Source organism: Homo sapiens, chromosome 4 (genome assembly GCF_000001405.40).
Source record: "Homo sapiens chromosome 4, GRCh38.p14 Primary Assembly".
Lineage (NCBI taxonomy): Eukaryota > Metazoa > Chordata > Mammalia > Primates > Hominidae > Homo > Homo sapiens.
The window spans coordinates 1,265,172-1,278,175 of NC_000004.12; the positions used below are offsets into that span (position 1 = coordinate 1,265,172).

The 13,004-nt window shown below is 44.2% G+C and overlaps 1 annotated feature.

The window, feature by feature from the left end:
• Positions 2,658-2,787: an enhancer, noted in NCBI's record as "active region_21152". NCBI's record gives its function as "activates an Ori minimal core promoter by ATAC-STARR-seq in GM12878 lymphoblastoid cells {active_cell/tissue: GM12878}" and the evidence as "EXISTENCE:reporter gene assay evidence [ECO:0000049][PMID:35858748]".

Below are 13,004 nucleotides of genomic sequence, written 5' to 3' on the forward strand. Positions count from 1 at the left end.
AAAAGACAATTAAGCTGGGTGTGTGGTGCACACCTGTAGTCCCAGCTACTCAGGAGGCTGAGGTGGGAGGATCGCTTAAGCCCAGAGCCCTGGCAACCTAGCAAGACTCCATCTCAAAACTCAATTTGCTGAAATTTTGTTCTTTGATGGTTTCTATCCTTAAAACAGAACCAGCTGGAACCCTCTGGAAAGTTCCAGAACCACCAGCATCAGGGTGGCCAAGACGTGGGCACTGCCAGACAGGGGACCATGTGGGGCCAGAAGAAATTATAGGACATAGCAGGTCTCAGACATGACCAGAGACTGCTGCCAGTGGTGGAAGGCTTCCCTGAGCGTGATGACCTGGCCACTCCACAGGAAGCCTCCACACCCAAGGTTAAAGGTGTCCAGCTGCGGCCAGGGTTCCGGGGTACCTGTGGATCCCGTGACGTGGCACCGAAGATCTGAGCTGTGCAGAGGAGCTGCACCACAGAGGCCAGGTTTCCGTGTGGAGAACGCGCATAATGGGAGGCCTTGAGCTGAGACCCAGCCCCCGACCCCCACCCCCACCCACCAGCAGGGGATTCTCCTCAGGGCCTCACAGAGCACCACGTGGTGTCATTGCTGGTCCTGCCATAGCTCCCAGGACCAATGCTTCCCAGAACTCCCTGCTACATAAATACATCCGGTCCCTTTCCCTCGAGATCTTGAAAAGTGAAGACTTCACTTGGCAGTAACGGTAAAACATTTCAACATGGTAAGTTGTCATTTTATGCACACATGGAATGGTGGCCCATAAAGGGCCTGGGGGTCCAATATCCTACATACTGGACTCCTCATTAGTCCTCTGAGTCTTCTGTTCCCCAACACACTGCATTGGGATCAAACTGAATTTGCAGCCAGGCATCATAGCTCATGCCTGTAATTCCAGCACTTTGGGAGGCTGAGATAGAGGATCACTTGAGGCCAGGAGTCCAAGACCAGCCTGGGGAACATAACGAGACCTTGCCTCTAAAAAAAAAATTTTAAAAATTAGCCTGGTGTAGTGGGCATGCCTATAGTCTTAGCTACTAGGGAGGCTGAGGTAGGAGGATCACTTGAGCCCAGGAGTTCAAAGTTATAGTGAGCTAAGAGTGCATCACAGCACTCCAGCCCGGGCAACAGAGCAAGACCCTGATTCTAAACACACCTATACACACACACACACACACCCCACCACCAACAACAATGAAAAACCCTGAATTTACATCCTTCACGATAAAGTGATAGCTTCTGTGACATTTGCACAGAATTCTGAGTAAAGTTGCCTTTTCAGTCACATCTGTTAATGTTGACAAGACATAATCTAAAAATCAAGAGGATGAGAATAGAAGGACCACTTCCCTTCTAGTGACCTCCTGGACCACACCAAGCACCAACATCATGAGGATCCAAGGAATCTCTGGAAAGTTCTATCTCCAGAAGATACCCTGAGAACACTTAGGCCCTCCCAGACCACATGAAGAACCAACGTCATAAGGATCCAAGGCATCCCTGGAAAGTTCCTTCTCCAGAAGAAGGATCCAAGGCATCTCTGGAAAGTTCCATCTCCAGAAGATTCCCTGAGAACACTTAGGCCCTCCCAGACCACACCAAGCACCAACATCATGAGGATCCAAGGCGTCCCTGGAAAGTTCCCTCTCCAGAAGATTCCCTGAGAAGACTTAGGCATGATCTTAAATAAATATTCCTGTTGTTTAAAAGGCCTTAAATTCCTCATATTTAAGCTGTTGGGAGTCCCTTGCAATTCCATATACACTTGAGAATCTACTTTTATTTCTTTGAACAGGGCTGTTGGAATTTTGATAGGCATTGTGTTGAATCTGTAGATCACTTTGGGTAGTATTGACATCTTAACAATATTAAGTCTTCCTATCCATGAATATGGGATGTCTTTCCATTTATTTAGGTGTTCTTTAATTTCTTTTAGCAATCTTTTCTATTTTCAGCATACGAGTCTTTCACCTCCTTGGTTAGACTTATTTCTGAGTATTTAATTCTTTTAGATCTTGTTGTAAATGGCATTGTTTACTTAATTTCCTGTTTGAATTGTTCAATACTGATGCACAGAAACAAATGAATTTTGCGTGTTGGTCTTGATGTGTTGATCTTGTAACTTTGCTGAATTTGTTTATGAGCTATTGTACCTTCTTGTGGGTTCTTTTGGATTTTCTATATGTAGGATTATGTCATCTTCAAATAGAGATCGTTTTACCACTTCCCATCCATTTGGGTGTTTTTCATTTCTTTTTTTGTCTATGTAGGGGCCAGCCCTACAGGGTCTGTGGGTTTTTCTCCCCATGTGTGGAGACAAGAGATTGTAGAAATAAAGACACAAGACAAAAAGATAGAAGAAAAGACAGCTGGGCTCGGGGGACCACTACCACCAAGACGTGGAGACCGGTAGTGGCCCCGAATGCCTGGCTGTGCTGTTATTTATTGGATACAAAGCAAAAGAGTAAAGAGTGTGTCATCGCCAATGATTGATAAGGTCATGTGAGTCATGTGTCCACTGGACAGGGGGCCCTTCCCTGTTAGGTAGCCAAAGCGGAGAGAGAGAGGACAGCTTAGGTCATTATTTTTTCTATGCTCTTTTTAGAAAGATCAAAGACTTTAATACTTTCACTAATTTTGCTACTGCTGTCTAGAGGGCGGAGCCAGGTGTACAGAGTGGAACATGAAAGTGAAACAGGAGCGTGACCGCTGAAGCACAGCATCACAGGGAGATGGTTAGGCCTCCAGATAACTGCGGGCGGGCCTAACTGATGTCAGGCCCTCCACAAGAGGTGGTGGAACAGAGTCTTCTCTAAACTCCCCTGGGAAAAGGGAGACTCCCTTTCCCAGTCTGCTAAGTAGCGGGTGCTTTTCCTTGGCACTGATGCTACAGCTAGACCATGGTCTGCTTGGTAATGGGCATCTTCCCAGATGCTGGCGTTACCGCTAGACCAAGGAGCCCTCTAGTGGCCCTGTCTGGGAGTGACAGAGGGCTCATACTCTTCTGGTCACTTCTCACCGTGCCCCTTCAGCTCCTATCTCTGTATGGCCTGGTTTTTCCTAGGTTGTAATTGTAGAGCAAGGATTATTATAATATTGGAATAAAGAGTAATTGCTACAAACTAATGATTAATGATATTCATATATAATTATATCTATGATCTATATTTAGTATAACTTTTGTTATTTATGTATTTTATTACACTGGAACAGCTCGTGCCCTTGGTCTCTTGCCTCGGCACCTGGGTGGCTTGCCGCCCATAGTCTATAGCATTGGTACAACTTCCAGTATGCTGTTGAATAGTAGTGGTGAGAGCCTTGTTCCTGACCTTAGGGGAAAAGCTTTCAGTCTTTCACAACTGAGTATGATGTTAGCTCTGTGTGTGTGTGTGTGTGTGTGTTTGAGACGGAGTTTCACTCTTGTAGCCCAGGCTGGAGTGCAATGGGTGCGATCTCGGCTTACTGCAACCTCCGCCTCCTGAGTTCAAGCGATTCTCCTGCCTCAGCCTCCCAAGTAGCTGGGATTACAGGCATGCACCACCACACCCGGCTAATTTTTTGTATTTTTAGTAGAGACTGAGCTTCTCCATGTTGGTCAGGCTGGTCTCGAACTCCTGACCTCAGGTGATCCGCCTGCCTCAGCCTCCCAAAGTGCTGGGATTACAGGCATGAGCCACCACCCACAGCCATGTTTTGTTTTTGTTTTTGGAGACAGAATCTTGCTCGTAGTCCCAGCTGGAGTGCAATGGCACAATCTTGGCTCATTGCTACCTCCACCTCTTGGTCTCAAGTGATCTTCCCACCTCAGCCTCCCAAGTAGCTGGGACCACAGGTGTGTACTGCCATGCCCAGCAAATTTTTAAATATTTTTTTGTTGAGAGACGAGCCTTCACTATGTTGCCCAGTCTGGTCTTGAACTCCTCGGCTCAAGTGTTCATCCCAACTCAGCTTCCCAAAGTGCTGGGATTACAGGCATGAGCCACCATGCCTGCCCAGCTATGGGTTTCTCATAATACCCTTTATCATGTTGAGAAATTTTGTTTCCATTCTTAGTTTTCTGAGCTTTTCTTTCTTAAATCATGGAAGGTATTAGATTTTGTCAAATACTTTTTCTGTGTAAATTGAGATAATTATGTGGATTTTTTTCCCTTAATTCTATTAATGTGGTGTATTACATTGATTGATTTTCTCATGTTGAACCATCCTTGCATTCCTAGATAAATTTAACTTGGTCATGATGAGTAGATGAACAATCCTTTTAAGATGCTGTTGCATTCAATCTGCTAATATTTTGCTGAGGATTTTGCATCTGTATTTGTAAGTGGTATTGGTCTGTACTTTTCTTTTCCATGAATGTCTTTATCTTGTTTCAGTATTAGGGTAATGCTGGCTGCATAGAATGAGTTAGGAAGTGTTCCTCCTGTTCAACTATTTGGAAACATTTGAGAAGAACTGGTATTAATTTTCCTTTAAATGTTTAGTTGAACTAACCTGTGAAGCCATATGGCCCAGGACTTTTCTGTGCTGGAAGGTTAATGAGTAATTTAAAACAAATCACTGATTTAATCTCTTTACATGTTATAGGTCTGTTGGGATTTTTTACTTTTTCTTGAGTCCATTTAGGTTAATGTGTGTTTTAAGGAATTTGTTCATTTCTCCTATGTTATCTAATTTGTTAGAATACAATTGTTGACATATTCTCTAATAATCCTTTTTATTTCTATAAGGCCATTTTCACATCTGGTTTCACTTCTGGTTTTTATTTGTGTCTTCTCTTTTTGTTCTTTGTCAGTCTACGCAAAGGTTTATCAATTGTATTGATATTTTTTAAAAAATCAACTTTTGGTTTTATTAATTTCCTCTATTTTTTTTCTTTTTTTGAGACAGGGTCTCTCTCTGTCACCCAGGCCTCAGTGCAGTGGTGCAATCATGGCTCACTACAGCCTCGACCTCCCAGGCTCAAGTGATCCTCCCACCTCCAGTCTCCCAAGTAGCTGGGACTATAGGCACATGCCACCACACCCTGTTTCACCATGTTGGCTAGGCTGATCTCAAACTCCTTGGGCTCAAGCGATCCTCCCACCTTGGCTTCCCAAAGTGCTGGAATTACAGGTATGAGCCACCACACCTGGCCTGTATTTTCTCTATCTCTTCTCTATTATTTTCTTGCTTCTGCTAATTATTATTTCCCTGCTTCTGCTAGCTTTGGGTTTAGTTTGCTCTTCTTTTTCTAGTTCCTTAAGATGTAAGTTAGGTTATTAATTTGAGATCATTCTTCTTTTTTGTTGTTGTTATTGTTTCTTTTTTTAAATTTAAATTTTTATTTTTATTTTACTTTATGTTCTGAGATACATGTGCAGAATGTGCAGGTTTGTTACATAGCTATACATGTGCCATGGTGGTTTGCTGTACCGATCAACCCGTCATCTAGGTTTTAAGCCCCTCATGCATTAGGTATTTCTCCTGATGCTCTCCCTCCCCTTGCTCCCCACCCCCGATGGGCCCTGCTGTGTGATGTTCCCCTCCCTGTGTCCATGTGTTCTCACTGTTCAACTCTCACTTATGAGTGAGAACATGCGGTGTTTGGTTTTCTGTTCCTGTGTTAGTTTGCTGAGAATTATGGCTTCCAGCTTCATCCATGTCCCTGTAAAGGACATGAACTCATCCTTTTTTATGGCTGCATAGTATTCCATGGTGTATATGTGCCACATTTTCTTTTTTTTTCTTTTCTTTTCTTTTTTTTTTTTTTGAGACAGAGTCTCGCTCTGTCGCCCAGGCTGGAGTGCAGTGGCGCAATGTTGGCTCACTGCAAGCTCCACCTCCCAGGTTCAAGTGATTCTTCTGCCTCAGCTTCCCAAGTACCTGAGATTACAGGTGCCCGCCACCATGCCCAGCTAATTTTTTTTTTGTATTTTTAGTAGAGATGGGGTTTCACCGTGTTAGCCAGGATGATCTCGATCTCCTGACCTCGTGATCCACCCGCCTCGGCCTCCCAAAGTGCTGGGATTACAGGCGTGAGCCACTGTGCCCGGCCACAAGCCACATTTTCTTTATCCAGTCTATAACTGATGGGCTTTTGGGTTGGTTCCCAGTCTTTGTACTCTTCTTTTTAACATAGGCATTGATAGCTATCAGCTTCCCTCTGAGTGTTGCTTTTACTGCATTCCCTAAATTTTGGTATATTGTGTTTTTATTTTCATGTATCTCTAATTATGTTCTCATTTCCCTTGCAATTTCTTCTTTGACCAACTGGTTGTTTAAGAGAGTCTTATTTAAAATAATTTCCATAACTTTGTAAATTTTTCAATTTTCCTTCTGGTACTGATTTCTAACCTCATACTGTGATGGTCAGAGAGATTCTTTTGTATGATACTGTATTAGTCAGGGTTCTCTTAGAGGGACAGAACTAATAGGCTATATTAGGGGAGTTTATTAAGTATTAACTTACACAATCACAAGGTCCCACAATAGGCCATCTGTAAGCTGAGGAGCAAGGAGAGCCAGTTCGAGTCCCAAAACTGGAGAATTTGGAGTCTGATGTTCGAGGGCAGGAAGCATCCAGCACAGAGAAAGATGTAGGCTGTGAGGCTAGGCCAGTCTCAACCTTTCATGTTTCTCTGCTTGCCTTATATTTGCTGGCAGTTGATTAGATTGTGCCCACCAGATTAAGAGTGAGTCTGCCTTCCCAAGTCCACTGACTCAAACGCTAATCTCCTTTGGTAACACCCTCACAGACACACCCAGGATTAACACCCTGCATCCTTCAATCAAGTTCACACTCAGTGTCAACCATCACAGATATCGATCCTTTTTAATCTACTCAGGCCTAACTTGTGGCTAATATATGGTCTATCCTGGAGCATGTCCTGTGCACACTTGGGTTTTGTTGTTGGGCGGAGGTTCTGGATGTGTCTATCAGGTATCATTGGGTTTGCTGTTGGGTGGGGGTTCTGGATGTGTCTATTAGGTTTCAGTGGGTTTTACTGTTGGGTGGGGGTTCTGGATGTGTCTATTAGGTTTCATTGGGTTTTGCTGTTGGGTGGGGGTTCTGGATGTGTCTATTAGGTGTCAGTGGGTTTTGCTGTTGGGTGGGGGCTCTGAGTATGTCTGTTAGGTTTCAGTGGGTTTTGCTGTTGGGTGGGGTTCTGGATGTGTCTATTAGGTTTCAGTGGGTTTTGCTGTTGGGCAGGGGTTCTGCATGTGTCTATTAGGTTTCATTGGGTTTTGTTGGGTGGGGATTCTGGATGTGTCTATTAGGTTTCAGTGGGTTTTGCTGTTGGGCAGGGGTTCTGCATGTGTCTATTAGGTTTCATTGGGTTTTGTTGGGCAGGGGTTCTGGATGTGTCTATCAGGTTTCATTGGGTTTTGCTCTTGGTTGGGGGTTCTGCTTGTGTCTATTATGTTTCATTGGGTTTTGCTGTTGGGTGGGGGTTCTGGATGTGTCTATTAGGTTTCAGTGGGTTTTGCTGTTGGGCAGGGGTTCTGCATGTGTCTATTAGGTTTCATTGGGTTTTGTTGGGCAGGGGTTCTGGATGTGTCTATCAGGTTTCATTGGGTTTTGCTCTTGGTTGGGGGTTCTGGATGTGTCTATTAGGTTTCAGTGGGTTTTGCTGTTGGGTGGGGGTTCTGGATGTGTCTATTAGGGTTCAGTGGGTTTTGCTGTTGTTTGGGGATTCTGGATGTGTCTATTAGGTTTCAGTGGGTTTTGCTGTTGGGCGGGGGTTCTGGATGTGTCTATTAGGTTTCAGTGGGTTTTGATGTTGGGTGGGGATTCTGGATGTATCTATTAGGTTTCAGTGGGTTTTGATGTTGGGTGGGGGTTCTGGATGTGTCTATCAGGTTTCAGTGGGTTTTGTTGTTGGATGGGGGTTCTGCATATGTCTATCAGGTTTCATTGGGTTTTGCTGTTGGGTGGGAGTTCTGGATGTGTCTATCAGGTTTCATTGGGTTTTGTTGTTGGGTGGGGATTCTGGATGTATCTATTAGGTTTCATTGGGGTTTGCTGTTGGGTGGGGGTTCTGGATGTGTCTATTAGGTTTCATTGGGTTTTACTGTTGGGCGGGGGTTCTGGATGTGTCTATTAGGTTTCACTGGGTTTTGTTGTTGGGCTGGGGTTCTGGATGTGTCTATTAGGTTTCATTGGGTTTTGCTGTAGGGTGTGGGTTCTGGATGTGTCTATTTGGTTTCATTGGGTTTTGCTATTGGGTGGGGGTTCTGGATGTGTCTATTTGGCTTCAGTGGGTTTTGCTGTTGGGTGGGGGTTCTGCATGTGTCTATTAGGTTTCACTGGTTTTTGCTGTTGGGCGGGGGTTCTGGATGTGTCTATTAGGTTTCAGTGGGTTTTGCTGTTGGGTGGGGGTTCTGGATGTGTCTATTAGGTTTCATTGGGTTTTGCTGTTGGGTGGGGGTTCTGGATGTGTCTATTAGGTTTCATTGGGTTTTGCTGTTGGGTGGGGGTTCTGGATGTGTCTATTAGGTTTCAGTGGGTTTTGCTGTTGGGTGGGGGTTCTGGATGTGTCTATTAGGTTTCACTGGGTTTTGCTGTTGGGTGGGCGTTCTGGATGTGTCTATTAGGTTTCACTGGGTTTTGCTGTTGGGTGGGGGTTCTGGATGTGTCTATTAGGTTTCACTGGTTTTTGCTGTTGGGTGGGGGTTCTGGATGTGTCTATTAGGTTTCATTGGGTTTTGCTGTTGGGTGGGGGTTCTGGATGTGTCTATTAGGTTTCAGTGGGTTTTGCTGTTGGGTGGGGGTTCTGGATGTGTCTATTAGGGTTCAGTGGGTTTTGCTGTTGGGTGGGGATTCTGGATGTGTCTATTAGGTTTCATTGGGTTTTGCTGTTGGGTGGGGGTTCTGCATGTGTCTATTAGGTTTCACTGGTTTTTGCTGTTGGGTGGGGGTTCTGGATATGTCTATTAGGTTTCATTGGGTTTTGCTGTTGGGTAGGGGTTCTGGATGTGTCTATTAGGTTTCAGTGGGTTTTGCTGTTGGGTGGGGGTTCTGGATGTGTCTATTAGGGTTCAGTGGGTTTTGCTGTTGGGTGGGGGTTCTGGATGTGTCTGTTAGGTTTCACTGGGTTTTGTTGTTGCGTGGGGGTTCTGCATGTGTCTATTAGGTTTCACTGGGTTTTGTTGTTCGGTGGGGGTTCTGTATGTGTCTGTTAGCTTTCAGTGGGTTTTGCTGTTGTGCGGTGGTTCTGGATGTGTCTATTAGGTTTCACTGGGTTTTGCTGTTGGGCGAGGGTTCTGCATGTGTCTATCAGGTTTCATTGGGGTTTGCTATTGGGCACGGGTTCTGGATGTGTCTATTAGGTTTCACTGGTTTATGTTTTTAAGTCCTCCATTTCCTTAATTATCTTCTGTTCCATCTGTTATTGAGAGTCGGGTTTTGAAATCTCCTGCTATTATTGTAAAACTGTCTATTTATCCCTTTGATTCTGTTGCATTTTCCTTCATATTTTGAGCGTCTGTTGTTCGGCGGGCAAATGCTTGTATTTACTGTATTTTTGCTGTACTGAACGTTGTGTTAATCTATAATGTCCTTCTTTGTCTCTTGGAGGGCACATGTCTCTCGATTTAAAATCTATTTGGTATCATGTTGGGATAGCCATACCTGCTCTCTTTCTGAGACTGTTTGCACGGAACATCTTTTTCCCTTCCTTTCTCTTTCAACCTGTGTCTATGGAACTAACACGAGTCTCAGATAGGAGTGCATGGTTGAATCCTGCTTTTAAATTCATTCTGCCAATCTCTGTCTTTGATTTAAAGGGAGAACGGATAAGGAGGATTTTCTTTGACTGCTGCTGCTTGTTTTCTACATGCCTGGGAGCCGTTCTGTTCCCCATTTCCTCCGTTACTGCAGTGTTCAGCGAATTTTTTTGCAGTGACATTTTTGATTCGCTTCTCATTTCCTATTGTGTATATTCTATAGCTATTTTCTTTGTGGTTACCGTTGAGAATTGCATTACATACAATATCCTGAAGTTCTAACACTGCCGTCTGAATTTGTGCCTGATTAACTCCAAGAGCATATCAAATCTCTCCTGTCCTGCTCCGGAACCTCTTCTGTTGATGATGTCATAAATTAGATCTTTATACATTTTTTGCCCAATAACAAAGATTAATAGTGATTTTTATGCATTTTTTAAATCGTGTAGACAATAAAAAAAGAAGTTACAAACCAAAAATACAACAGTACTAGCTTTTATAACTACCCTTTAGCAGAAACCTTTATTTCTTCATGCGGCTTCAAGTTACTGTCTAGTGTCCTTTCATTTCAACCTGAAGGACTCCCTATGTCATTGTTGAAAAAGAAGAATAAGGCTGGGTGCGGTGGCTCATGCCTGTAAAACCAGCACTTTGGGAGACCAAGGCAGGCGTATCACAAGGTCAGGAGATCGAGCCCATCCTGGCTAACACGGTGAAACCCCGTCTCTACTAAAAAGTACAAAAAATTAGCCGAGCGTGGTGGCAGGCGCCTGTAGTCCCAGCTACTCGGGAGGCTGAGGCAGGAGGATGGCGTGAACCGGGGAGACGGAGCTTGCAGTGAGCCGAGATCATGCCATTGCACTCCAGCCTGGGTGACAGAGTGAGACTCTGTCAAAAAAAAAAAAGAATAAAATTGGAGTACTCACACTTCCCAACTTTGAAACTTACTACAATGTTACAGTAATTCAAAGAGTATGGCACTGCAGAATGACAGACATGTAAACCAATGGACTAAAGAACTCAGAAAAAAGCCCTCACATTGTGGTCAATTGATTTTTGATAAGGGTGCCAAGACCGTTTAATAGGGAAAGGACAATCTTCACAACAAACAGCAATGGGGAAATTGGATATATGTGTGCGAAATAATGAAGTTGGACCCTTATCTTACACCGTAAAGCAAAATTAACTCAAAATGGATGAAAGGCCTAACTTAAGAGCTACGACTATAAACTGTTAGAAGAAAACACAGGGGGAAATCTTCATGATGTTGGATTTGGTAATAAGTGCATGGATATGACTCCAAAAGCACTGGCAGCAACAACAAAAACATCGAGAAGTTGAACTTATCAGAGGAAGAACTTTTTTGCATGAAAGGACCCCATCAAGAAAGTGAAAAGACAGAATGGGAGAAAATATTTACAAATTATCTATTTGACAAGGGGCTAATATTCAGAGGGTATAAAGATGTCTATAACTCAACAACAAGAAACAAGAAGAAATTAAAAATGGGCAAAGGATTTTTTTTTTTTTTTTTTGAGACGGAGTCTTGCTCTGTCGCTCAGGCTGGAGTGCAGCGGTGTGATCTCGGCTCACTGCAAGCTCCGCCTCCTGGGTTCAGGTGATTCTCGTGCCTCAGCCTCCCGAGTAGCTGGGACCACAGGTGCACACCACCATGCCCTGCTAATTTTTGTATTTTTAGTAGAGACAGGGTTGGTCAGGCTTGTCTCAAACTCCTGACCTCAAGTGATCCGCCCACTTCAGCCTCCCAAAGTGCTGGGATTACAGGTGTGAGCCACCGTGCCTGGCCCTGGCAAAGGACTTGAGTGAACATTTCTCCAGAGATGATAGACAGGTGGGCGATGAGCACATGAAGAGATGCCCAGCACCATTAGTCCTGGGGCACACGCAGACTGAATCCACCCAGAGATGCCGCTTTCCACCAATGACAGTGGCCATCATCAAGGAAATGGAAAAAGACCAGCATTGGCGAGGACATGGAGAGGCTGTAACCCTTGTGTGTGCACTGCTGCCGGGAATGGAAGATGGTGCAGACTCTGTAGGAAACGATTTGGCAGTTCCTCAAATGGCTAAAAATAGAACTTTCTTATGGCCCAGCAATTCCACTGCTGGGTTTAGATCCAAAAGAATTGAAAGCAGATACCTGTACACGAATGTTCATAGCAGCATTATATACAATAACCAAAAGCTGGAAACACCTAAGAGTCCGTCCACAGAGGAATGGATACACAAAGCTTGGTCACACATACAATGGAATACTATTTAGCCATGAAAAGGAATGTCCATGGGACATTCTCCAGGATAGACTACATGTTAAGCACAAATTAAGCCTCAGCAGATTACAAAGGATAGATATCATACAAAAGAATCCTGTCTGACCATCACAGTATAAAGTTAGAAATCAGTACCTGAAGAAAAATTGAAAAATGTACAAAATTTATAAAATTTACAAAATTTGACTTTGGGGCATGCTACAAGATGGGTGGACCTTGAAAACATTATGCTTAGTGAAATAAGCCAGACCCAGGAGGACAGATGTTATTCCACTTAGATGAGGTACCTAGGACAGGCAGCCTAATAGAGACAGAAACTAGAACTGATGTTACCAGGGGCTGGGGGCAGAGGGGAACGAGGAGTTCTTGTTTAATTGAGGCATCGTTTATGTTAGGAATTATGAATGTTTTGGGTATAGATAGTGGTATGGGTACCTAACATTGTGAATATAGCTAATGCCACTGAATCGTACACTTACGAATGATGAAAATGAGAAATATTATGGTACATATTTTTTACAAGAAAAAACTATCTTTTAAAATTCCTCAATTTTATTTAACAACAAATAACAACATCTCTAGGCCAGTGTCCAGTCTTCCCCTGAGGTGCAATGCCCAGAGAGGAGCCCTGCCTGTGGGGTGGCCCCTCACCTGGGGTGGGCAGTACCCGGGAGGCCCAGATGCGGCATGAAGCTGCCCCAGGTGGGCAGATGGAGACCCCGTGCCAGCGGCAGTCACCTCCCATTTCCACCCCCATCCAGCAACTGTCAGTCTGATCCTGTCCCTACGGATTTGCATTTTCTGGACATTTCCTAGTACTGGAGTCACACGCTATACACTCTTCTGTGACCGGCTTAGCTCCCTTAGCTGGTGTTTTTGAGGTTCACCTGCATTGTGGCACGTGCTTGTGTTTCACTCCTTTTCATGGCTGCATGATATTCCGTCATGTGATGGGCGATGTGTTGTTCATTTATTCACCAGTAGATGGGCACCCGT